The sequence below is a fragment of the Homo sapiens genome, chromosome 10, assembly GCF_000001405.40.
Source record: "Homo sapiens chromosome 10, GRCh38.p14 Primary Assembly".
NCBI lineage: Eukaryota > Metazoa > Chordata > Mammalia > Primates > Hominidae > Homo > Homo sapiens.
In genome coordinates this window covers 33,116,808-33,143,885 of record NC_000010.11, presented here as the reverse complement: position 1 = coordinate 33,143,885, position 27,078 = coordinate 33,116,808, and the positions used below count along the sequence as shown (strand labels likewise).

General features: G+C 45.8%; 1 annotated feature.

The window, feature by feature from the left end:
- Positions 8,920 to 10,119: an enhancer, noted in NCBI's record as "P300/CBP strongly-dependent group 1 enhancer chr10:33422695-33423894 (GRCh37/hg19 assembly coordinates)". NCBI's record gives its function as "activates an origin of replication core promoter dependent on BRD2, BRD4, P300/CBP, MED14 and CDK7 cofactors, with strong dependence on P300/CBP, by STARR-seq in HCT116 cells {active_cell/tissue: HCT116}" and the evidence as "EXISTENCE:reporter gene assay evidence [ECO:0000049][PMID:35650434]".

Genomic DNA, 27,078 nt, shown 5'->3' with positions numbered 1-27,078 from the left:
CCAGAGGGGATCTCGTATAGTGAAGCTGGAGCATCATCAAGTGGACTTCTTGGGGTAGATCACGTTGATGTCCTGGCCATTTCGTAACCAATTTAGAGGGAGCAGACAGATATCTGACCCCCAGGGGCTCCAGTACCAGATGAAGGGCTAAGAAAATGAGAGTTTCAGGGGAGCACCTGCTCTTGGCCTCCTGTTTCCCAGTGCCCAGTCCCTTCCCCACAGCCCTGAGGGATCTGGGTCCAGAACTTGTCTCTTGAGCTCTCCATTGATAAGAATCTTCCCATCTCCCTGGTTCTGACGGGCCCCATGCCACCAAACCCTCCCGGCTAATAATGCCACATCTTATAGAGTCATTTCTGACTCCTGAGAACATGAAAGCAGAGCACACGAGCTCATGTTAACACATAAGTATGAGTCACTGCTGCAGGGGGTGGATGATGAACTTCTGTGGGTGGCTTTTCAGCATTTCAGGATTCTGAGAGATCCCTAAAAGGCCTTGCCCTCTGCCTAGTATTAAAATTCACTTTCTAACTGAAAACATACTTGGAAAAAATTGAGACAGTCTTCTGGGGAGCTCAGATTATGTTCATAATGCGCTGGCTGGGGAACCTTGGTGTGAACCGTGGTGTTCCAGGTAGTGATTTTTTGAATGTTCAGCATAAAGTATGAGTGCCCCCAACCCAGTCCTTGACCCATGCATCCCCTAACAGCAAGGAACCTGCCCCATGTCCACCCACAACTTCCTTTCTGATGGTATTACTTATACTCCACTACTTATAGTTGCCTCAAGCTTTCTTTGCTTAATTTTTAATTTTTTTTTTTTTTCCTGCAAGGCTGGATGGCAGCTTCCCAGTGAAAAATTGGGATCCAATTCAAGATGAAAAGACTTTACCAGTAAAGGGAAAAGTACAATAAAAATACCCCCTGGTTCATGTTTAATTTCTGAATTCCAATAAGAACTCATTTTATCAGTGGATTTAAAAATCTCCTGAACTCACAACTCGGGTGCAATCACAAACAAATGCAGGGCTGTGGGGTCTGCTGTGTAGCCAGCCCTGGAGCAGTAGAGAGTGAGTTCATGTGCCATTTCCCCCAAATGGGTTGTGGAAGAATTTTTTGGCTTTTTATGCTTCATCAGAGACCCCAGAGTAGAATTCAGCATTTCACAGTTCATTCCTGAGTTGAACAAGCCCATTTTCTATGGGGAACTCAAGAATGTTAGCAAGTTCCTCATCTTCACATGGTTTTGAGCGTGGTCTAATCCCTTATCTCTTCATGAGCTGTTTGGCTCATGCTGTTTTGATTTCACCGGAACGGCTGAGCCTTCAAGATCCCTGGCTCTGGCCTTGTCTCTTCAATGGGTCCCTTTGGGCCTCTGGGCTTAATGTCTTCAATGGAGATCTTGTGGGATATGGGATAATGTTTCCAAATTTGTTTTCCAGAGCCTCAGCCCCTGGGAGCAGCCTAGCCGGGGTTTTGTCAGTGTCCCCCAGCCCCTCCTTCCTTTCCTCTTTCTCCCCCTCCCATCCCTCTCCCTCCTCCATCAGCAGCTCCCTCCCTGTTGGCTTCATCACTCAAGGCTGATCTGGGAGAAGCCATAAGGGTGTTTGGTGGCTGGGCTCAGCTGGAGAGACTCAGAGGTGCCAAAAGCCAATTTCTAGTTTCCAACCTCTCCATCTTTCACTAGTTCTGAACAGATTTGGGGATTTTAAAGGCTTTCATCAATGCATAAAACCTCTTTTCACTCATCCGTGTCCCTGGAGATCTCCATTAAAGGGACAGCCACTCTCCACCCCATGAAAAGATTCTTTTTTTTTTTTTTTTTTTTTTGAGACAGAGTCTCGCTCTGTCGTCCAGGCTAGAGTGCAATGGCGCTATCTCGGCTCACTGCAACCTCTGCCTCCTGGGTTCAAGCAATCCTCTCACCTCAGCCTCCCGAGTAATTGGAATTACAGGAGGTTGCCACCATGCCTGGCTAATTTTTGTATTTTTTTAGTAGAGATGGGGTTTCACCAGGTTGGCCAGGCTGGTCTCGAACTCCTGACCTCAAGTGATCCGCCTGCCTCAGCATCCCAGATTGCTGGGATTACAGGCGTGAGCCACCATGCCTGGCCAAGACTTTTTTTCTTCTTATTAAGGGAGTCAGGACTGATGGTGCTACTGAGTGCACAGTGGCCTCAAGAAACCCCCAGGACTAGGTGAAACCATTACCCCCGTTGACTTGAAAAATCAGTGGGGATGGGAGGAGCTGTCTTCCAAGGTAGCCCCCCCTCCAGTGCTGGGCCCCTCATCTCCTACAGACCCAGGCTCTGTAACCACTGCTGGATTGCTGAGAAACTAAGAGCATCTGCCTGAGGAAAATAAGCTGAGATCCTTAACAAATCCAGATTCTCCGGCAAATCAGATGAAGAGGAATGTAAATGCAGGGTGAATTGCATTATGCTTTAGGCCAATACCACTCAGGGCCCAGGCACACAAGCTGTGTGATTAGATGAGGCCTTCAAGTTGCAATCAGGCTTCAAATCTGATGTTCCACTCTTCACATATAGGAGCTGATGGAGTCCTAGGGTCACAAAGGAAACAAAAGACAGAGCGTTCTAACGGCATATTTCACAGATGCAAACACTTACACCCAGAGTATAAGACATGCCCAAAGCCACGCTGGACTCATTATGCCCTCGATCCAGGAAGCATTTCTGGAATAGGTGCTGAGAGCCAGGAGGTGAGACCTCCCATAGGCACAGTCCCTGTCTTCAAGGAATTCCCAGTCCAATCAGGGACACGAGCTTGTAAACCTGGCATCTCCTATACCTGGCCCTCAGCCCAGATCTGAGTGAGAACCTCTGGGGCTGGACCTCAGGGCACACTTATTTAGACACTGCAGATGGTCCTGATGTGGGCTCCAGGCTGGGGACTCCTGTAGACACACAGAATGGGATAAGAGAACCAGAAGAAGCAGCTCACCGTACAGAGGGAAGAAGAGAAGAGTGGCGAGAACCCAGGGAGGGAAGTAATGAATGTATGCCTTCATTCCACACTTTTGTTTTGTTTTGTTTGAGACAGAGTCCAGGCCAGGCTAGAGTGCAGTGGTGCAATCTCGGCTCACTGCAATCTCCGCCTCCCTGGTTCAAGGGATTCTCCTGCCTTAGCCTCCCAAATAGCTGGGATTATAGGCACGCACCACCACACCTGGCTAATTTTTGTATTTTTAGTAGAGACGAGGTTTCACCATATTGGCCAGGCTGGTCTCAAACACCCAACCACAGGTGATCCACCCACCTCAGTCTCCCAAAGTGCTGGGATTACAAGCGTGAGCCACCGTTCCCACAGATGCTTATTGAGAGCCTGGAATGCCTCCTGGGTGCTGGGACTATGGCAGTGAGCAAAACAGATTTTAAAATCCCCATTCCTGTGGAGATGATGGGTCTTGATCTCTCCGTATATCTTCACGATTGGTGGAGAAGTAAAGGAAGAGAAGTGCTATGATTCGAATGTCTGTCCTGTCTGAACCCCATGTTGAAATTTGATCCCCAATGTGGCAGAGTTGAGAGGAGGGGCCTTTAAGAGGTAACTGGGTCATGAGGACTCTGCCCTCATCAGTGGATTAATCCATTCATGGATTAATAGGTTGACAGATTAGTAAATTATCATTGGAATGGAGCTGCTGGCTTTACAAGAAGAGGAAAAGGCCGGGGGCAGTGGCTCACACCTGTAATCCCAGCACTTTGGGAGGCTGAGGTGGGCAGATCATGAGGTCAGGAGATCGAGATCTTCCTGGCCAACATGGTGAAACCCCTTCTCTACTAAAATGGAAAAAAAAATTAGCCAGGCATGGTGGCGGGCGCCTATAGTCCCAGCTACTTGGGAGGCTGAGGCAGGGGAATCTCTTGAACCCAGGAGGCGGAGGTTGCAGTGAGCCGAGATTGCACCACTGCACTCCAGCCTGGCGATAGAGCGAGACTCCATCTAAAAAAACAAAAAAAAAGGAAAAGAGACCTGAGTCAGGACACTCAGACTCTCACCATGTGACACCCTGTGCCACCTCAGTCCCCACCAGCTATGACCCATCAATCTTGGACTTCTCAGACTCCCTAAGTGTAAAAAATACTTTTCCTTTCTTTACATATTACCCAGTTTCAGGTATTCTGTTACAAGCAACAGAAAATGGACTAAGACAGGAAAGGGTAACTAAAGGCAAGGAACAGCAGTGGAGTAAAATGAGAGAGGCAGAAGAGGTGGATGGAGAACGGCTTCACCGAGCACGGATGGAGGGGAGATGATGCATGAGGGGGGCATGACGAAGCTGGAGACGGGGGCTTGTGCTGAAGGTGCTGGAGAGAATATTGCCAAGAAGAGGAGGAAGAGCTGAAGGGACAGGGAGTTTAAGATGTGGGCTCCAAAACACGGTGTAGATGATGACAAGTTCCAGGTTGTGACCCTGGGATGCTGCGTTGGAGTGGAGGTCAAGCTCTGGGGGGGGCGGCAGCAGCTTTCAGACTGCGAAAGTCCATGACTTGCCCATCCACTGAAAAGGAAGTAACCGCCCCCTGCACAGCCTTGTTTTTGTGCCTTCTACCTACGTTACCAGCTGTGAAATAAAACTAACCGTTGTTACCACTTCAAGCACTTGGGGTTTGTTTTGTTTCTTTTTGAACTGAAGTAACCATGGGTACCTGGTAACCTTGGATAGATAAGTGTGTATCTGAGTTTCCCTCTGAAAACCAAGCTGTTGATGGATTTCCTTGACAGTGTATTCTTTCCTGTAACTAATATTAAATCTAAAAAAAAATGAAATTGCTGGAAAAGTACCCATTTATGTTATGCTTTATTCCTCTAGTTAACTGATAGGGTGATTTTTTTTTTTTGAAACAGAGTTTCGCTCTTGTTGCCCAGGCTGGAGTACAATGGCGCCATCTCAGCTCATCGCAACCTCTGCCTCACGGGTTCAAGCAATTCTCCTGACTCAGTGTCCTGAATAGCTGGGATTACAGGCATGCGCCACCATGCCCAGCTAATTTTGTATTTTTACTAGAGACTGGGTTTCTCCAGGTTGGTCAGGCTGGTCTCGAACTCCCAACCTCAGATGATTTGCCCATCTCGGCCTCCCAAAGTGCCGGGATTACAGGTGTGAGCCACCACGCCTGGCGGTGATTTTTTTTAATACAGGAATTTCAGGCTTGGTCTGGGGAAAATGTATAAACAAAAATTCCCTGAAATATGCAAGTTTACTATTATGATTTGCCCTGAAAATAATATGCTGATCAACTCTATGCTTTTTTTCATGTATATTTGTTAAATTCTGGTTCTTAATTACAGCTTTGCATCACAAACAATGGTTACGTAAGTGTTTTGTTGTGTTTTGCTTTGCTTTGCCTTATTTTACAAATTTGATTGTGGTTTCTGAAAAGCCTTGAATTATTTCAAGGAGTTATTTATTCGTGTAGATGAATATCTCTATCCAATAGACCTGGAAGCTGATACTAAAACGGCTGACCAAAAGATAGATGCATTTGTGACCCTTGTCTCCCCAGAAACTACTGGAAGGACCAAATTTATGATCACAACAACCTTTGGTGCTGGCCTTTGTGCAATTTCCTTGCTAGGGCTCTGTGGCCTCTCTCATAGCAACCTAGCTAAGGGGAGGGTCCCTATGTGTGTGGGCACCAGCACATAGCGGAATTGAGAGACTTGTGTTTGCATCTTGGGGCTGCCACTTTGTAAGTAGAAAGGCTTTGGTTTCCTCAATTTCACAATGAGATTAGAATATCCTTTTCCTCCCTCACTTCTCCAATAATCTGGATGCTATGCAAAGAGATCAAGTCCCATCACCTCCATCATAACAGGGACTTTTTATTTAAATTTGTGTTGTTCTCTACCATAGTCGCAGCACCCAGGAGAGTGATGGACACGGGAAAGGCTCTCCTAAACAGCTGCTGAATGAATGCATGCATTCATTACTTCACTCTTCTCTCCTTCCCTCTGCATGAGTGAGCGGCTCCTCCTCTTCTCCCACCCATACTGTGGACTTCCAGGACCTCCAATCCTGAGTGAGCATCAGGATGACTCAGGGTTGGGCTGAGGGCCGGGTCGGGGAGGAGCCAGGTTTACAAGCTCATGTCCCTGATTAGACTGGGAATTCCTTGAGGGCAGGGACTGAGTCTCTGGGAGTTCTCACCTCCTGGCTCCCAGCACCTGTTCCGTAAATGCAAAGTGTCGCCCAGAGAAAGTATGCACTCGGCATCTATGGGTCTACTCCTCAGACTGTCTGACTCTGAGACTTGTTAGATCTTGCAGTCCACAGAAGCACTTTACCCAGGTTCCTTCAAAACATCTCCTATCAAGGAGTTTCATCCGGGCTTCTGAGGACCTGGCTTGAGGGAAGGAAGGGGGAATTCCTGACTTCAACATTCCTCACTGCTCTGGACATAAGGGTTCACTTCTGGGGGCACAGGCACGCCCAGCCTCCCCTCTGCTGATGCAGAAAGTGGAGCCGTATTTCACGTTTTGTTCAGGCCCCTCACCCCCAGGGGCCCACAGCCTGGCAATCGATCCCAAAGCCTCTTGCACCGCTCCTCCTAGATGGCCCTAGGACCTCAAGTTTTGAGGGAACAAACATTCTGGTCCAGTACCCTAGAGAACCCGAGTCAATATGGTAGCATGTACGTGAGCCCAACTAATCCTGGGAAACAAAGTTCGTCCCTATGATGAGCATAATTTTCAGAAGGAAGATAGTATATTTTGTAGGAAAGAGCATGGGGTTTGGAGGCCTGGGACTTTGGTTTATGATCTTACAATCTGTCTCCTCTTGCTAGCTTTGTGACCTGTGGTGACTCACTTAGCTTCTCTCACTTATAGATCTGACATCTGCAAAGGAGCATATTAAGCATAGCCACCTCCAGAGTTTTTGTTAGATGAATCAGAGCACAGATCCGTCTCCCTGACTGGTTGCTAATTAATCTGTGTTGCTAATTAACCTTCCCTCCCCTGCAATCCACACCCCAAGCCCTTGGTCATATCACTGCATTGTCCAACAGAAAGGAAGTGTAAGAAATATGGATTCTTCTTTTAAAACCCTGATAAATTACTTAATGGAAGGTGGAGGAGGTTAGGTCTGTTTTGGGTTGAAATGGGTTTTCATGAGTGAGTTGCAGATCACTTAGTCCCCCATCCCTCCCTCAGTTTCCCCTGGAGAGGCTGCACTCCAAGCATATACCTGTCTCCTATCATGTGGAATCCAAGTCAGCTCTTCGTTTCACATCAGCAGGCTTTCTCTTCAAAACAACCCCACTTTGCTACTACATGACCCCCTCTTATACAGAGGAGTTTGCCACAAATTACTCATCAACATGGGTCTGGGCACATAATTGCTTCATCTCCCAGGCTTGGCACATCTGTGTAAATAGTTTTGATTAGTTTCAGTCTCACTTAATAGTAACAGTTGTGTGGGCCAAGGGAGGTTAGGCTTGATCTTAGACTAAACCAATTAGCAGCAAGGCTCCCACTCCCCCGTCTTTCTGCCCCACCCCTGCATCAATGCCTGCATTTGTAGCAGTGAACAATCTCTAAGGTGATTGTGCCAAGTTCTAAGCCGGGACTTTCAAAGACTTGCCTGGGTACTGCCGCCTCTGCACATAAACTTTGAGAGCACTGTCCAGTCTGGACTGAGCCTAGCTACCTCTGCTATAAGTCACCTTTAACGTAAGTTGCTCTTTTGGGGGCTTCCATAGTTTAAATATGTTGAAAGTTGGCCTCTAACGTGAGCTTCACCCAGTAGAGCCAAGTTGCATGGTTTATAAAAAATGTTATTTCAGTTATGTGATATCCTTTAAACACAGAAATGCACTGAAAATGGGCCAGGCATGGTGGCTTATGCCAGTAATCCCAGCACTTTGGGAGGTCAAGGCAGATGGATCACTTGAGATCAGGAGTTTGAGACCAGCCTGACCAACATGATAAAACCCCACCTCTACTAAAAATACAAAAATTAGCTGGGCGTGGTGGCAGGTGCCTGTAATCCCAGCTACTTGAGAGGCTGAGGCAGGAGAATCACTTGAACCTGGGAGGTGGAGGTTGTGGTGAGCCAAGATCATGTCACTGCACTTCAGCCTGGGTGACAGAGTGAGACTCCATATCAAAAAAAAAAAAAAAAAAAAGAAAAGAAAAGAAAAAAGAAACATACCGAATATGTAAAAGCTCCCAATTTTAGCTCAGTGGTTACTTGGCAGATATCAACCCAATGACCACAACCAAGGAGGATTGATTGATTGATTGATTATTTTAGATTCAGGAGGTACATATATTTGTTTGTTACATGGGTATATTACATACCAGTGGGGATTGGGCTTCCAGTGTCCCCAATATACCAGTAGTGAACATTGTACCCAACAGGTAAGTGCTCAACCCTTGTCCTTCTTCCATCCTCTCTGCTTTTGGAGCCCCCAGTGTCTATTATTTCCATCTTTATGATCATTCGTACCCATTGTTTAGTTCCCACTTATAAGTGAGAACACGCGGTATTTGGTTTTCTGTTTTTCAGTTAGTTCACTCAGGATGATGGCCTCCAGCTCCATCCACATTGCCGCAAGAATGGTATATATAAACCATGGAATACTACACAACCATAAAAAGAATGAAATCATTATTTTCATTAGTATTCCATGGTGTATATAGACCACATTTTCTTTATCCAGTCAACCACTGATGGGCACTCAGCTTGGTTCCGTGACTTTGCTATTGTGAATAGTGCTGCAATAAATAGGTATATTATTTATATGGTCTCTTTTCCTTTGGGTAGATACCCACTCATGCACTCATAGGATTGCTGGGTTGAGTAGAAGTTCTATTTTTAGTTCTTTGAAAACTCTCCATACTGTTTATCACAGAGTTGAGCTAATTTACATCCTCACCAACAAAGCGTAAGTGTTCCCTTCTCTCCACATCCATGCCAACATCTGCACAACCAAGGAGGATTTAGCAAGAGGATTTTATTCCTTGCAACTAGTAACAAGAACACCTGGGATAACTCCCAAAGCAGTGCCTCCTCGAGCTGGGGGCTAGGTCCGGTTTTATAAGGATAGGGTAATAAGGTGTGATCTGATTGGATTTCACAATGAAGTGATGTCAAAAGCCACGATCTGACTAGATCCTGCCATGAGGTGATGCCAGGGCTCGATCTGATTGGATCCTGATCCTGCCCTGCAGTGTCCGCTTCTTATTTCAGTCCCCACTCCTCAGTCCAAGCACTTAGGTTCCCCTGTGGTTGCATGCCTTGGCTCATCAGGGCATGCTCATGATCTTCAACCTGGGAGTCCCGGGCAACTGAAAAACAAATCACAACTTTGTTACATAAAAGTTGAACCAGATTGGTCTGGTGCAGCTACAGCACTGGCAATAGTGGAGCCATGGGCTGTGTGTCAGCTGGCAGATGAGCTGGCAGATGATCTGGAAATTAAGGTGGCTGTTTTGCCATCCCGTCTCTTTGAGCTGGTGGAGCCTCTAAGCTGGGACTCTGAGCAGAATCTAGAAATGACTGGTTATCTCCTGTTCACTGATACTCGTCGACTGGAAAATATTACTGGGTACTGAACTGGCACAACTCTGCCTTGAAATGACTCAACCTGCATGAGTGGGGTGAGTCATCGCCCTCTGCCACCTTACAGCACAGGCCCCACGTGTTGGTTTTTATTACCCTGCATAAGGTCCAGGCCTCATTCAAGTAGGACTCCAAGGCTGCCTGTCCTCACTTCCTCCATTAGGAAAGAGGTGACGAAGGTGGATAACAATTTTACCACCTGGGGATGTGGATTTCTGCCTTCTATTCGTCATTCCTGACATAGGTTTGGCAAGTCTGTGGGTGCCTTTGCTCCTTGCTCGCAGCTAGAACTGAGAATCCTAACAGCCAGAGAGGTTATTATTTTTCTTATGTTGTCACTAGATTCCAGCTCTGAAATTGCAGGTAATTATCTCTCAATGACCAGCATGCCATCTTTCTCCTCTCTATTTTACACCCAAGCAGGCAGGATGGTTGCTGTATGGTGCATTTTTATTTAATTAGCTAAAAGGCTTGGATCTGCTTCTGTTACCCATAAATTAATGCCCATTGCAGCATGCCATGTTTATTAGTCATGGTGTGGGATTAGATGTCAAGAACAAGAGCTTCATCTTCATCACTGGGCATTGTCCTGTCCAAAGAAAGCAAATGGTTGAAGAGACCAAAAACAATCTGGAAATCCTGTAAGTAGCATCACATAAGCAAAGCAAAGTAGGCTTTGGCAAAGGGAACACATTCAGTCCCCTGCTAAGAAGAGCCACTGCTGAGCTGAAAGCCCCCATAGCTCTGTTAAAAGTGAGTTAAGGATCTAGAACCAGAAATACCATTTGACCCAGAAATCCTATCACTGGGTATATACCCAAAGGATTATAAATCATTCTACTGTAAAGATACATGCACACTTATGTTTACTGCAGCACTGTTCACAATAACAAAGACTTGGAACCAACCTAAATGTCCATCAATCATAGACTGGATAAATAAAATGTGGCACACATACACCATGGAATAATGGACAGCCATAAAAAAGAATGAGTTCATGTCCTTTGCAGGGACATGGATGAAGCTGGAAAGCATCATTCTCAGCAAACTAACACAGGAACAGAAAACCAAACACCGCATGTTCTCACTCATAAGTGGAAGCTGAACAACGAGAACACATGGACACAGGAAGGGGAACATCACACACTGGGGCCTGTTGGGGGGTGGGAGGCTAGGGGAGGGACAGCATTAGGAGAAATGCCTAATGTAGATGACATTGATGGCTTCAGCAAACCACCATGGCAAGTGTATACCTATGTAACAAACCTGCATGTTCTGCACATGTACCCCAGAACTTAAAGTATTTTTTTAAAAAAGTGAGTTAGGGCACTATAGGAACTGGGCAGGACACACAGCCCAGCCTGGTGGAGTGAACCATGAAGGTGATCCTTGAGTTGAAGCCCAAGATTTAGTAAGAGTTGGCCAGGTGGAGGGTGTGAGCCTACCATTCAGAGGGAGTAGACACATGAACACAGGAGAGAGAAACTGCAGGTGGCGCAGTAGAACTGCAGAGGGGAGAAAGGCACCCTGGGTTCTAGAGGGCAAGGCAGCACTGGATCAGGAAGGTCTTACATGATCTGCATGAAGGATTTTAAGCAGCAGAGCAGCATGATCAGAAGTGCAGTTTCTAAAACTTATGCTGGTGGAAGAGAGGAAGAAGGCAAGAGTGAAAGTAGAGAACCCAGTAAGGAAGCCAGGAAAGAAATGCGGACAGTGGCTGGGCTCTGTGTCTCATGCCTATAATCTCAGCGCTTTGGGAGGTGGAGGCAGGAGGATTGCTTGAGCCCAGGAGTTTGAGACCATCCTGGGCAACATACCAAGACCTCATCTCTACAAAAAATAAAATAAAGAAATAGCTGAACTGGTGGCACATGCCTGTGGTCCTAGCTACTAGGGAGGCTGAGGTGGGAGGATTGCTTTGAGGCTGCAGTAAGCTGTGATTGTGCCACTGCACTTCATCCTAGGCAACAGAGTGAGATGCTTGCTTAAATAAAAAAAAAAAAAGAAGAAATGTGGATAATTAGAAACCTAGGCAGTGGTGGTAACAATGGAAAGAGACAGAGCAGACAGATGTGGGGGACAGTGTGGGGCAGGGGATGTACTGGTCTTTGAGGTTGGTCATCTGGGAGAACATCAGAGCCACTCACTGCAACCAGACACCCAGGAAGGGGAGCAGGTCGGCAGAAGAGGGCACGGGAAAGAAAGATGGAATGATGGCATGTTTCATTTAACCCAGGTTGAACTTGAAGCCTTCCTGTCATATACAGTGTGCACCCATGTGGACTAGTCGCACATGTTCAGGTAACTGTAACATCCTCTGTGCCCCATTGTGACCCTTTCTGCCACCCCTACTGGGGACACAGAAGGAGAAACTGTAGTTAAGTGCAGTGTGAGACTGGGGAAACTGATCAGCTGTGATCTAAAGCAGGGATCCTCAACCCCCCGGGCCATGACAGGTACCAGTCTGTAGCCTGTTAGGAACTAGACCAAACAGAAGAAGATGAGGGGTGGGCAAGCAAGGGAAGCTGAGCTCTGCCTCCTGTCAGATCAGTGATGGCATTAGATTCTCACAGGAGTGCGAACCCTATTGTGAACCGTGCACACGATGGATCTAGGTTGCATGGCCCCTTACGAAAATGTAATGATAGACCAGGCACGGTGGCTCATGCCTGTAATCCCAGCACTTTGGGAGGCCGAGGCAGGTGGATCACAAGGTAAAGAGATCGAGACCATCCTGGCCAACATGGTGAGACCCCATCTCTACTAAAAATACAAAAATTAGCTGGGCTTGGTGGCGTGCGCCTGTAGTCCCAGCTACTTGGGAGGCTGAGGCAGGAGAATCGCTTGAACCCAGGAAACGAAGGTTGCAGTGAGCCGAGATCACGCTACTGCACTCCAGCCTGGTGACAAAGCGAGACTCCGTCTCAAAAAAAAAAAAAGAAAGAAAGTATAATGATAAATGAAATGTGCTTGAATCATCCCAATACCATTTCCTGTCCCTCTCTGTGGAAAAATTGTCTTCCACAAAACTGGTCCCTGGTGCCCAAAAGTTTGGGGACTGCTGATCTAAAGCATTCTCTGAATTCACATCAACACTCACAAAACGCATTTGTGCTCATAGAAATGTTATATGGTTCATGAGAAGAAAAAGATAACAATCTTTTAACTCCAATTTAAAGGACTGTAATCAATTTTTTAAAGGTCTATGAAGGAAAAGCTATAGCCCCATTATAAATTCTGAAAAGAGCCAACTGGTCATGATCCGTTTTGCTACTGAGTAAAAGTATCAAGATTCAGGTAGTTAAGCAATAACAATGAAGAATGCCTACTCTGTGAAAAGGCACCGGGAGATACAGAGATATCCATGACGGCTCACATCCTCAAAGTATTTGTCATTTTAAAGGGCATTCAGGAACAGCAATAGCTATAACTAAAGGTATCTATTTCATAAATAGTGTTAGCTAACTATCGTCAATACGCCAGGGTGAGGAAGACTAATTCTTATTTATTTATAGAAAGATAGGATCTCGCTATGTTGCCCAGACTGGTCTTGAAAGCCTGGCCTCAAGCAATCCTCCTGCCTCGGCCTCCCAAAATGCTGAGAGTAAAGGAGTGAGCTGCCACATCTGGCCTGGGGAGATTAGTTTTGATTGGGTTGTGAGAAACCATGAGTGGCTTCACGGGCCTAAAGTCATGTTAGCCTAGGATGCTCTATGAATCCCCCAAGACCTGGCCTTGGAGGACAAGTAGGATTTCACCTAAATTCCACATGGGGTTTTCTTGCCATCATGAGATAAGAAGGTCACAGTCAAGTCTCAAGCATACACAGCATGTCAAACCATATGAAACAGCCATTTTTATAGGTAAAAGATGGTTGAATATTGAACAATTTCATAGAGTTCAATCTAATAATCCAGCTTTATCTGAATTTAGAATTCCTAATATGAGCTGGGGCTCCTATAACCTCCTGCAGAGGCTTGGCTTGTGGTCACCATAAGCATCTTCACATCAGCTGCTGAAGGAGCAACATTCCACAGAGCCCACTCTTTTCCCAGACCAAGTTTACATGGTTTGAAAACTAGACATTTTGCGCAATGCATTGGTGCTGTCTGCCTCCCTCCCGGGGCTCCCAGTCTGTGAACATTAAAAGAAAATCAATAGGATTAGGTCATGTTTTTGATGGCACGTGCACCTGACAGGCCTCGCATCTTAAATTCTCGCTAAAATAAAAGCTCTTAACCCTCTGCAGCTTCTGGGGGATCCACATTAACTTCTCATTCAACCTTTCCTGGAGTAGATTAATCACAAGAGCCGCACCATTATCCCAGCCCTACTTTGCTGAAACTCGCCCAGTGTTGGAAAACTCAGTTTGAACCCAGTCCTGCACCCCAAAGGAGAATCCTCTAAGGCTGGGCTGAGTCAGTCTTTTTGAAGTACACATGCTCTTTGGAGCTGACTGATTGCTGGCACTGTCAAGTGATGAGGATGTCATGATTCCCCGAAGCTGGGGTCATGAACCCAGAGCATATTTTAAAAATGAATTAGAAAACCATTTCAACATCCATGTGGACGTGAGGAGAAAAATTTGTTGATAAATAATTTAAGTGGTCACATGTTGGCCCTGCCCCAGGACTGTGGACACAACCACAGCATGAGGATGGGATTATTGTGCACAGTATATTAAAATTCACCCCACAGATGGCTTTCTATTTTTAAGGAAGAGCCTTATTCCAGAGTTAGAAAGAAGAATGCTTTGGAAACCCAAAGATCCCACAAGCATTTTCAGACGTTACTTCATTGACCTCTGCAGCCATTCAGGGGAATGGCTGTAGTTGGAGACGTTTGAATGCTCCGGCAGAGGGTGGAGGTGGCCGAGGCCTCACCCCTGCATTGGCAGATACATGCCTTGCAGAGGATGACACACACTCCATGACCACTTTAGAGAAAAGACTGCCTCAGCAGCTTGGCATGGGATCGCCAGCTTCTTTCCTTCTGTCCCCACACTGCCAAGTGTGGGCAGAAGAGAAAAAGAAAAATACTTACTAGAGCCGACTCAGCAATCAGAGAGTTTGGTGGTGTGGAAGTGCTGAGAAGTCCCTGGGACCCCATCAAAAAGAAAGCACCCTGGGTGGGCTGGCTAGAGCATTTGGAGGGAATTCCAAGCCCTCGGTCATCATTTCAACTAGATCAGCCCCAATCACATCTTCCTAAACTGTAATCCAACTTCCTCCCTCTCCTCAAGAGGAGAGAGCCCCAAGGGGGTGAAGGGACCTTTCTAAGGGCACAAAGTGAAACAGTAGAAAGCCAGATCTCTGGGTTCCAAAAACCTGGGGAGGGAAAATTGAGCTAGCAGGAGAAAGGAGAGAACCAGAGAAAAAAGAGAAGATGAAAGAAAAAAGTGCAGAAAGTGAAAATAAAGAGTTGCAAGTGTAGGATACTTTTGTGTCCCCACCCTCATGCACTTCCATGTGGCCTGACTGGCCACCAGGTGGGGACTTGCATCTTGGAAGGTGCCTTAAGGAGAGGCCTAAAATTTGGTCACTGCTCTTGTAGAAAGGGAAATCTCGGGAACTGAGGACCACACGTGCCCCAGGCACTGTGCACACGTGGTCTTTTTCAATGAAACTCAGGCCACGCGGTGGCTCACGCCTGTAATCCCAGCACTTTGGGAGGCCTAGGCAGGTGGATCACTTGAGGTCAGGAGTTCCAGACCGTCCTGGCTAACATGGTGAAACCCTGTGTCTACTAAAAATACAAAAAAATTAGCCGGGCGTGGTGGTGGGCACCTGTAGTCGCAGCTACCTGGGAGGCTGAGGTAGGAGAATGGCGTGAACCTGGGAGGCGGAGCTTGCAGTGAGCTCAGATCGCGCCACTGCACTCGAGCCTGGGCGACAGAGAGAGACTCCATCTCAAAAAAAAAAAAAATATATATATATATATATACAAAAATTAGCTGGGCTTGGTGGTACATGCCTGAATCCCAGCTACTTGGGAGGCTGAGGCACCAGAATCATTTGAACCTGGGAGGCGGAAGCTGCAGTGAACGGAGATCATGTGATTGCACTCCAGCCTGGGCAACAGCACGAGAATCTGTCAGAAGGAAGGGGAAGGAAGGGAAAGGAGAGGAAAGAAAGGGAAAGGGAGGAAAGGGAGGGGAAGAGGGTGGAGGGGAGAGGAGTGGGAAAGGAGGGGAGGGGAGGATGGGAGGGGAGGGGAGGGGAGAGGGAGGGGGGAAGGGAAGTGGGTGGGTGAGGAGAGGGAAGGGAAGAAGGGGGAAGGAAAGAAGGGGAAGGGGAGGGGAGGGGAGGGGGGAAGGGAGGGGAGGGGGCGGGGGGGAGGGGAGGGGCGGGGAGAGAACGCAAGGGAAGGGAAGGGAAGGGAAGGGAAGGGAAGGGAAGGGAAGGGAAGGGAAGGGAAGGGAATCAGTCCCTATTTTGTAAACAACTGAACTGCTGCTGCCATGTACTGGGTTTTTGAGGCAGAGACCCCCTCCCCTCCCAACGCTCATGCTCCCCTGCATTGTAAGCGCCCAGGATTCCTGCCCGCCAGTGCAGGGAGCACAGTGGAAGGGTTGTGGAGCAAAGCGGAGGATGTCTGCGTCCAGGTCCACGTGGTGTTATTATTTCTTTTTGTGATTCTAAACAAGAATCTTCCATTTAGCTTAAAACAACCAAATAAGGCAGCTGAGAGGAAGGTAACATTATCTTTTTCAGTATCTTAACCCTAAATGTCCATTTATTTCCCTGGAATAGAGTGTGGATTTTTGGATTTGTTTTTAGCAGGGAAGGGGAAAACATGGGGGTAATGTTGTTTTGTTTTCTTTCTCTCTCTCTCTCTTTTTTTTTTTTTCAGACGGAGTCTCACTCTTTCATCCAGGCTGGAGTGGTGCAGTGGCGTGATCTCAGCTCCACCTCCCAGGTTCAAGTGATCCTTCCACCTCGGCCTCCTGAGTAGCTGGATTTACAGGCACCATGTCCTGCTAATATTTTTTGTATTTTTAGCAGAGATGAGGTTTCACCATGTTGGTCAGGCTGGTCTCGAACTCCTTACCTCAAGTGATCTGCCCACCCCAGCCTCCCAAAGTGCTGGGATTACAGGCATGAGCCACCACACCTGGCCACGTTGTTTTGTTTTCAATTGAGCTGTGGATGGTAAAGATTTCCTGGACTTACTGAACTTGAGGGAATGCGCAGCACTGTCTAAAAGCCTGTGCCTGATTCAGAGGCACTAAAAGAGGCTGTGGGTGATGGGGTGGCATCAGCTAGTGGGGTGGGGTGGCAGAGGGCACGTGGCACCAGTCCCCAGCAGAACCTCCCATATCCTGCTGCTGCCCGCCTCCTCTGGGGCCACAGACGGTATTTCTCCTGCGGGTAGGTGAGTAAAATGTATGGTTTAGAAATGAGGATGAATAGCAAAGAGAAAGTCCTTGAGCATCTAGCTGAGGGTGGCTGCCAGGGGTGAGGGTGTGGGAGATGGGCATCATGGTTAAGAGGAACCCTGAAATAAAACATGCCGTCTTGCTTTGCTTGCTAATTATTTCTCCTCTGTGACTCCCAAACTAGTATGTTGTCCCTGAGGTCAAGAGTCATCCGACTGATGCTTGAGCCCAGGAGTTTGAGGCTGCAGTGAGCTATGATTGCACCACTACCACCACACTGCAGCCTGGATAACAGAGCTGAGACCTCATCTCTAATAAATAAGTAAATATTTTTTTAAAAAATTATTTTAAAGAGTCATCTGATTGACAGTCCTCTTTTCTGGAGCTGCAAAGGGCAGGCCCAGGCAGCCCATCTTCCCCCAGAGTGAGCATAAGTTTACAGAGATCTGGGTGTAGCTTAAGAGCCCAGAGAACAAGAGACAACTTGAAAGTCTTTAAGTCCCTGGCAGGCAGGAAATGTGAGCTTATCTTCTATTCCTCATGCGGCCTGGGCAGAACAGACACACACACAGGATGTGACCAACACAGATCTATGCACTCGTTTTTGGGAACGGCTGAGCAGAAGAGCCATGTTTCCCGGAAGCCTGCTTTCAGCCCAGAGAAAACTCCAGAAGGGTCAGCTACACCCTACTCTCCTCTGGCTTGAGAAGGACTGGCTGACCCACCTCTTGCCCCGACTATGAATTCTGAACCGACTTCCTAAGAATATCTCAGATCTCAAGAGAGAAGTAGGGCACGGGCGAAGTCGGAAGCATGACCACATTCTCCTTTCATAGAAATGAGCAGGAAATGGAGGCAGGGACACAGCTTTTGGAAATAGGTCAAGCAGAGGGAATGGCTTGGAAAATCACCTTCCATTTGCCTTCAGAGGCTATTAAACATGAAAGGAAATTCCCAAAGCAAGAAGTGAGATATCCGCGCCTGTCAATCTCAACAAATACCCTAGATACTCAGCACTCTGTAGTGATTCCAGGGGTGATGGGCCCTGGCCAAGGGCAGGGGAAGAGAGAAACCACCCCTCACAATTCCTCTGTTCGTAGCATTACAGGCTTAAGGTCTGATTTCATTGTTAAATCCACACTCACAAGGTGACACACTCTATTTGAGCATTATTATTCATATCATACAAGTAACTTAGTAGGCATTCCCTGAATCTTCCTGGTGCTTTAAAAACAATGCCCACTAGTTTACACACTTTCTAGGAATGTATAAAAGAAGACATGTCTGCTGATCAGCCGACCTCATGGCCTGTGGCGTTTAGCACGAAGCACCCCTCTCTGGCCCTGGAGAGGGCTTTCATTTTTGTGCCTCCCAAACTTGGCCATTCCTTTTTGGCATTGTCTTCTGCTCTGGTTACCGGGCAGTGTGACTATTAATCTTGAATGAAATGAAGTCTCCACCACTTCCATTTGAAAAAGAAATAGCTTTGCCTTTTCCATTTGATTCAACAGTATAAAATATTTATGATTCCTCTGGCACCTCCAACGCCCCCTCTCTCCCATCGATTCTCTCAGTCGGCACTAAGTGCTCACTTGGTGGCAAGTACTTCCTATCCATCAGGGACAGCCAGGGGATGACAACAGCCAGGAAGCCCAGCTGCTCCAGGACCGTCAGGTCACCAGAAAATCTTCTGCTGCTCCCTTGGGGAGCTCTTGTGAGTTTCCAAGCCCCCACAGCCACCCTGCAGAGGATTTTGCTGCTGTAGGCTCTGAGGTCCAGCTTTCCCACCTTACTTTCTTCCACTTGTGTGTTCCTTCTATAATCACACACAAGCACAACTGATACCTTTGGATCTTCTGTGACATGTAGGGCCAAGCCAGGGTAATTGGGAGCAGGGTTGGGCTGTAGGGGCTATAGCCGAACCCCAGAGGGCTCTGACCTCAAGGCTGCTTGATTAACCCACATGCAGCAGTTAGATTTCCCAGAGGGGAAAGCACCCAACTGGTGTTCCTGAGGCTAACGAGAGGTTTTCCTCTTGCCTCTCAAAAGTGACTCCTAGTCTGGCTGAGGTGGCTCATGCCTGTAATCTCAACGTTTTGGGAGGCCGAGGCAGGAGAATCACTTGAGACCAGGAGTTTAAGACCAGCCAGGGCAACAGAGCGAGATGCCATCTCTACAAAAAAACTTTTTAAATCAGCTGGACATGGTGGCAAACACCGATAGTCCCAGCTACTTGGGAGGCTGAGGCTGGAAAATCACTTGAGCCCAAGAGTTTGAGGCTGCAACGAGCTATGATTTCATTAGCTTACTCCAGTCTGTGCAACAGAGCAAAACCTCATCTCTTTAAAAAAAAAATGACTTTTGTTCACTCCTTGCTGGTCCCCATACGATATCCCTGACCTCCTGATAGCAGTAATTCCTCTAGACTCACTCCCTGTTGTAGAAGTAGAAAATAGTGATGGGAATAATGGAAAACAGAATGATCTCAATTGAACAAAAGAAAGATACAGAGCTCCGTACATCTCTAAAACCTTCCATTCCTCAGTTCCTGGCTGTATAATGAGGATAGGGATGATAGCCACCATCCTGAGTTATTAGGAAGGTTATATGTTACAAAGCCTAAAACAGTGCCTGGCACTTAGAAAGTGCTAGTGAAGTGCTAGTGAAGGCCGGGCGTGGGGCTCATGCACTTTGGGATGCCGAGGTGGGCCAAGGTGGTCAGGAATTCGAGACCAGCCTGACCAACATGGTGAAACCTCGTCTCTACTAAAGATACAAAAATTAGCTGGGCGTGGTGGCAGGCGCCTGTAATCCCAACTACTCAGGAGGCTGAGGCAGGAGAATTGCTTGAACCCAGGAGGTGGAGGTTGCAGTGAGCCAAGATCGGGCCACTGCACTCCAGCCTGGACGACAGAGGGAGACTCCATCTAAAAAAAAAAAAAATTGCTTAGTAAATATGAGCTAGCATTGTTGGTGTAATAGTTGTTAGTTTTATTTGGCCAGGCAATATCAGTTCCAGCCATCAGTAGCAGGGCTGGCTCTGGCCAGTGGCAGGAAAATGCAGTGAGCTGAAAGCCAGGAAACAAGGCAACTTCAATATGAAGGTAACTGCTGCCTCAGCCTGGAAGCTCCCTCTAGACTTCTTGCCATTAACCCAAAGACTAACCCTATGCTCCTAGACTTTGTATAATTCTCTACACACAGTAGGTGTTCAGTAAATGCTGAATGTATAGATTTATATCTCTCATTCCCTAAAACCTTATTTTCACATCTTCTCAGTGTCCTGAGTGTTCTTCATAAGAAAGACCTCTTTCTCTCTGCCCACAGAACCTGCCATCAAAACATAATTGTCAGGGCTGGGCATGCTGGCTCACGACTGTAATCCTAACACTTTGGGAGGCCGAGGTGGGTGGATCATTTAAGATCAGGAATTCAAGACCAGTCTGTGCAACATGGTAAAACTCCATCTTTACTAAGAATACAGAAATTAGCCAGACATGGTGGCAAGAACCTGTAGTCGCAGCTACTCAGGAGGCTGAGGCAGGAGAATCACTTGAACGCCAGAGGTGGAGGTTGCAGTGAGCTGAGATCACGCCACTGCACTCCAGCATGGGCGACAGAGCAAGACTTCATCTAAGAAAGAGAGAAAGAGAGAGAGAGAGAGAAAAGAAAGAAAAAGAAAGGAAATTAATTGTTAGGTATCCCAAATTCCCAGAGTCCTGCAATTTGCCAACTGTATAACTGTACAGTGTTTTAACATAAGAGTTTTGGAGTAAGATAGACTTGGGTTCAAATTCTGGCTCTGATCCATCCTTGCTGTGTACCTGGGGCAAGCTATTTAGCCTCCAGAAGTCTCAGTTTCCCTATGTATGAAACGAGGATAATAATAGTGACTGACTTGTAAAGTTGTAAGTCATAAAGTAGGGCTTTTAGAAGACATTGCAAGAAAAGAGATCAGCAAAGTGGGTGGCACACACTAATTAATTGCCCAATAAATGTTGATTATTATGGTCATTATTATTCATGAGTTAAGACACTAAAGCAGAGAACATTCGAGTTTTACTGAACCTTCTAGAGATAATCAAAATGGCAATTGGTGCTGAGCATTCTGTTCAGGCCACAGGGGGAGATATGGTTGGAGAAGTGATTTTCTGGGCACCTTCTCCAGTGCTCATGATGGGGTGCTACCTCCTCTAGCCCTGACCAAGAAAAGCAAAGGAAAGAAAACTTTGCTACTGGGCTGGAGGGTAGATCGAGCTCATTTGGCCCTTCATGGTGCCAAGGGAGGCAGGATGGGAGAGGCAGAACAAATAGAAGACTGGTTCTGAGTGAAATGTGGTTACCCTGGCAGTGGGGACTGTTTCACTCATGAAGTTATTTTAGGTGGTAGCAGCAGGAGGTTGGTTTAAAGTAGCTTAATTGTATTGTCTGCCCTGAGAAAAATTCAAAAGCTGGAGAATATAAAAGAAATGATTAAAAGTCACTGTTAGTCACTGCTAACCTGGTACATCCCCCCTGAAATCTCATAAACAAACAGGCTGCTCTTCCAACGTCTACGGAACTGAAATGGTACCGCCCAGCCTCTCCGGGGTGGACCCTGAGAGAGGCATTCGCTGTGCATCTCCCTGATGTGAAACTTCTGGGCCCTCCTGGAAAGGGTTGAGCAAACACAGTTGTTTAATGCGGCTGCATTTGCCCACAGTGTCAGCATGCTTCTGCATTAGAATGTATTACACTCGGCCACGCTGGCGCTTTCTCCATCTGTTTACATTTAGAATGGGACTCGCTGCCAAAGATTAGGAATCCCAGTGCCCACAATCCAGAAAGCGCAAGCCAAGGGGTAGAAATAAAAACAAATTGAAAAACCACTTGTTGCTAACTGGTTTTGTTGAATTCAGAAGGAGTAGGAATTTTTCCCTGGTGTGTTCAGTTCCAGAGAGGAGGACCTCAGTGGCGGAAAATCTGAACGGGCTTCACAGGGTCTCTCTCCAGGTATATGACCGTGACTCTGGGCTACATTCTCTGCAACACCAGACCATGAACTCTTCAAGGCAGGCAGGAGTATGCTGAATTCTTCTTGGTTTTCCCAGCATAGAGCCTGGTACTCGTGTTTAATAAATGCTGCTTGGTGGAATGAATAAATGAGTTATACTCAGTAATTTGTGGGGTTTTTTTTTAATGTGGCTGCAAATTCTTTTGATTTGCACTGAGAAGTAAGATCAGCATCCCTTCCCTTTGAATCTGGAAACGGCTGTGGCTGCTTCCATCATCTTAGCTGAGCAGAAGTGGCTCCATGTAATTCCAAAGCAAAGCAATCAAAACCCACACAGCCAACACCTGTTATCTTTTGCTTTTTGATGCTAGCCATCCTAACAGGGATGAGGTGATAACTCATGGTAGTTTCGATTTGCATTTCTCTAATAATTAATGATATTGAACATCTTTTCATATGCCTGTTGGCCGTTTGTATGTATGTGGAAAAATTGGAGCTGGTACACTGTTGGTGGGAATGTAAAATGGCATAGCCACTGTGGAAAACAGTACGAAGCTTCCTCAAAACATTAAAAATAGAACTGCCAAATGATCCAGCATTTCCACTGCTTGGTATATACCCCAAAGAATGGAAATCAGTAAATCAAAGAGATAGCTACACTTCTATGTTGATTGTAGCATTATTCAAAGTAGCCAGGATAATAGAAACAGCCCAAGGGCCCAATGACAGAGAAATGGATACAGAAAACATGGTATATATGTACAGTGGAATAGCATTGAGTCTTTGAAAAGGAAGGAATTCTGCCATTTGTGAAAATATGGTTGAACCCAGAGGACAATGGGTATTCTAAGTGAAATAGGTCAGTCACAGAAGGATGAATACTGCATGATTCCACTTACATGAGGTATCTAAAATAGTGAAACCCATAGAAACAGAGAATACAATTGTAGTTGCCAGAAGATAGAGGGTAGGGAAATGGGGAGTTGTTCAATGAGTATAAAGTTTCAGTTATGCTAAATGAATAAGTTCTAGAGATCTGCTGTACAACATAGTATCTGTAGTTCACGGTACGGTATTACACATTTCAAGATTCATCAAAAAGCTAATCTCATGTTAAGTGTTCTTACCACAAAAAAAAAAAAAAAAAACAAAGTGGTGGAACAAAAGAAAACTTTGGAAAGTGTTAAACATACCTGTTTCCTTGCTTGTGGTGATGGTACCAAGGGTATTTGCATATGTTCAAACTCCTCAAATTGTACACATTTAACATACACAGTTCTTTGTATATCAATGATACCTCAATAAAACTCTTTAAAAAAATAAGGTAAAACAAAAGTAGCCTTATGTTTTTTTTTGAAAATGATTTCTTTTTTAAGAAAAAGGCCATGTGGCTTTCACATTTGCTCTTGAGGCCTGAACCACCACGTACCATGTCTAGCTACTCTGAGCTGCCCTGTTTAAGAAACCATGTGCAGTGAGGTCTTGACACTCCATAGAGAGAGGTGCCCAATATGACCCCAGGTGTTTGACATGTGAGCAAAGAAACCTACAGATGACTCTGGCCCCGTTGTGTAAGTTACCCCTAGATTTTTTAGTCTTCCCAGCTGGGGTCTCGCAGTCATTGTACAGCAGAGACAATCCATTCCTGCTGTATCCTGTCTGAACTCCTGACCCACAGAATCCAAGAACAGAAGAAAACGGTGCTTGTTTTACACCATGAAGTTCTGGGGTGGTCTGTACATGACAATAGGCAAATGTAACTTTCTTCAAGACTCCAGGCAGGAGAGCCATTGCAATGCTAGCCCCTTGTAGTTGGTAATAATTCCCACAGTCAGGAATTTGATCTTAAAAAAAACTTAAATTCCCTCTGCAATTGAAGCCCATTACATCTTAATTTATATCTGGAGAGTTGGTAACAGCTGATTCCCACTCTATGTTTTTCACTGGCCTTCACATATTTGAAGATGTCGAGTAAGTAGGTTTTCAGCTTCTTCTTCTTTGGGTCATATACTCTGAAATCTTTGTAGATCCTTTTATCTTCCTTTTACTTTGTATTTGTCACCCTCTAAAAACAGATGTCAACAGCTTGTGGAGAGACAGAAGATATAGTCATGAAATGAGAGTCTTAGATCAAAATAACAATTATTTTGACATCTAGGGCACTTTATAGTATGCAAAACATTTTCACCTGCCTTATTTCTGAATCCCCACAACTACCCAATGGCATCAATAAGACAAACGTTTATTCCTATTTATTAAAGTTAAGCTCCTTTCTCAGGATCATACTTATTAATGGCTGAGCTGAAACTAGAAAACAAACCTCCTTGAATTGCAAGTATATGGACAAGGACAAAAAGAAAATTGAAAAGAATAAAATCAGCTGATGTGTCTGAATAGCAGATTATTTTCTCTCCAATGTTCCTTGATTGTAATTTTGCCTTTTCAGTAAACAAAATCAGAACTTTTTTTTTAAAGCTGAGTCTTTATAAAGTGTTTGGGCAGGGTTGGAATATTTTGAAGTATGTAATTTTAAAATAAATAACTCAGATTGTAGGCACAACAGAAAACTACACAGTGAATGTTCTTCTCGCTACTTTCATTGACTTTGATTTTTCTGGTTCTAGAAAAATGGTAGAAAATTGGTTGTAGTCAGAATTAGAAATAAAAATATATTTAGTACCATTGTGTTTGAGGTAAAATATTTGCATGCATGTATACTTAAATGCCAAATACAAGTGCGTCACATTGCATGAATAATGGAAGTGTTAGACCCTAAAGATGCCCCAAGATTTTTTGAATACCACAGAATATCTCCATGGACCAGCCACTAGAATGAAAGTTCCATCTTTGTCCAGTTCTATGGTAGCAACAGAACATAGCAAGTTAAGGCATAATGGCCTCTGCTCTCTATAATAGGTATGGGCTCACGTTTATTTTCTATGTCAGGCCTTCTAGTGGGTATAATAAAGGTAGACACAATCTTTATTTCTATATGCTGACTAGACGCAAGGGAGAAGTAGTGACCCAGAAAAGACGAGTGGTGGGGGTGGAGTAGATGGTGAATAAGGTTTACAGTGATTCCTACTTAGTAAAGTTCAGTCACATTCTCAGGAGTGCATCTGTCTACAGCTGAGCTGAAACTAGAAGGCGAACAGTGAATAGAACAAGGATCAGAGGCTGTGCCACTGACACAGCAAACACTCCCATTTGTCCCTACAGTGTTCCACAAAAAACAAACCTGAAAAACTGTATCCAAGTCTCTGGTGGGGGCCAGGGGTCCAAAAATCTGCATATTTAACCAGTATCCCAGGCAATTGGGGGCACACTAAAATATCTGTGTTCCTGCATGTCACCTGCTCAACAACTCAGAAGGTTACAAAAAGTAATCCAAGACTCAGGGAGGTTCTGTCAAACAGTGCCTGGGAGAACCAAACTTGAGCCCTTCTGATGCCAGAAATAGACTGTGTTCTTCACTGCACATTGCCACAACCTGGTGGCAAGTCTTTACAATTCTCTGAGCCTTGGCCTCCTCTTGTGTAAAGTGAGAGGTTAGGATTTCTTTTGTGTTTGGCATTTGATGATGACCCGAGGTGAAAGAGTTGTCTGCATCCAAGACAGCTGGATACCAAGGTGCCATTTTGGATCAGAGAAACTTGCACAAACTCTGGGCCAAATGGTTTTACAGTGGTCTCTGACTCTCTCAGACTAATTTAAGATGTATCCCAGAACGATTAGCCTATGGCCCATTTATATCAAGATCCAGCTGAGTTCTAATTGGCACGAGCAACCGCTGGCATGGTACACACAAGTGCTTGCAAAGGTGATTGCCAACAGCCACCCAGCTGCAGCGGAGAGGATGTGGGCACAAACCCTTCAGATTAGGGTGTGTCACTTGAGACCAGGCCAGAGCCATCAAAGCACCCTGTTTTCCTCCACCCTTTCCGACTGCCCCAAGACTGGCACAGGGTTTAGTAATAGCGAAAGTAACACTTGCCCATGTAGGGACCAACAGTCTTTTCTAGGTTGAGTTTTCTAACTTGAGTGAGGTGCCAGACAGAAAGATGCCACCAGAGAGATTTGGCTCCCCAATGTGCCATGCAGTAAAGCCTGGCCCTTATGGCCTGCCGGACAGCATTACAACAAGTGACAAGCGCACATTTACTGTCATGGCCTGACTGAAAATCCTTGTCGTCTTAATTTGTCATTCCGAAATATATGAAAACACCTACTTAGGCCACAAAGCCTTCTTTTTTGCCTAATGGTGTTCTAGAAATAAACTGGCAGTGAAGGATACTGCATTGTTACGGGGATGTTGTCAGTTGGTTTCGTTTATCCATTTATCAATGCCATTTTGCAAGAAATAGTCTCTGCTTTAGAGATGACACTTCATACATAACAGGGAGGGCGTGAGTTTTCCTTAACTGCCAGAACATTACATAATATAACATGTCACCAGGCCTCAAATGCAGCAGCAAAGACTCTGTATATAGGCGACTCCAGAGCCAACATGTGCTTAGCCAAAAAAAATGATTCAATGCCTTCAGAATGTGGGATGCAAAATGAGATTCTGTAGGAGTCAGGGGTCAATGGTGGGAGAGTGCAAGAAACAGATCTGACAGCTCCCAAGTTCGGGGCAATCTGTTCTCAGTTAACTAATAGTTGAGAGGGATCGCTGAAGGATACAACATTGATACCCCAAAGCGCTCCAATCAGTTTCACTATTTGGCCTGATTTTATGTGTCTGTTTTCCATTCCTCCCTAACTCCTTCTTGGGCTGCAGAATGGGCCTCATTTGCAGGTTTGGTTACCAGTTATCAACTTCCACTGTGATAAAGGACAATTAGGATACAACATTGATACCCCAAAGCACTCCAATCAGTTTCACTATTTGGCCTGATTTTATGTGTCTGTTTCCTATCCCTCCCTAACTCCTTCTTGGGCTGCAGAATGGGCCTCACTTGCAGGTTTGGTTATCAGTTATCAACTTCCACTGGGATAAACGACAATTAGGAGGTGGTGGGGACAGGAGTCCTGCCTGTGAAGTCCCAGTTAATCACCAAGCCATACAACCTCCCCTAAAGAGTCAAGAGCGGATGCAGGCTGTTGATGTTTTTC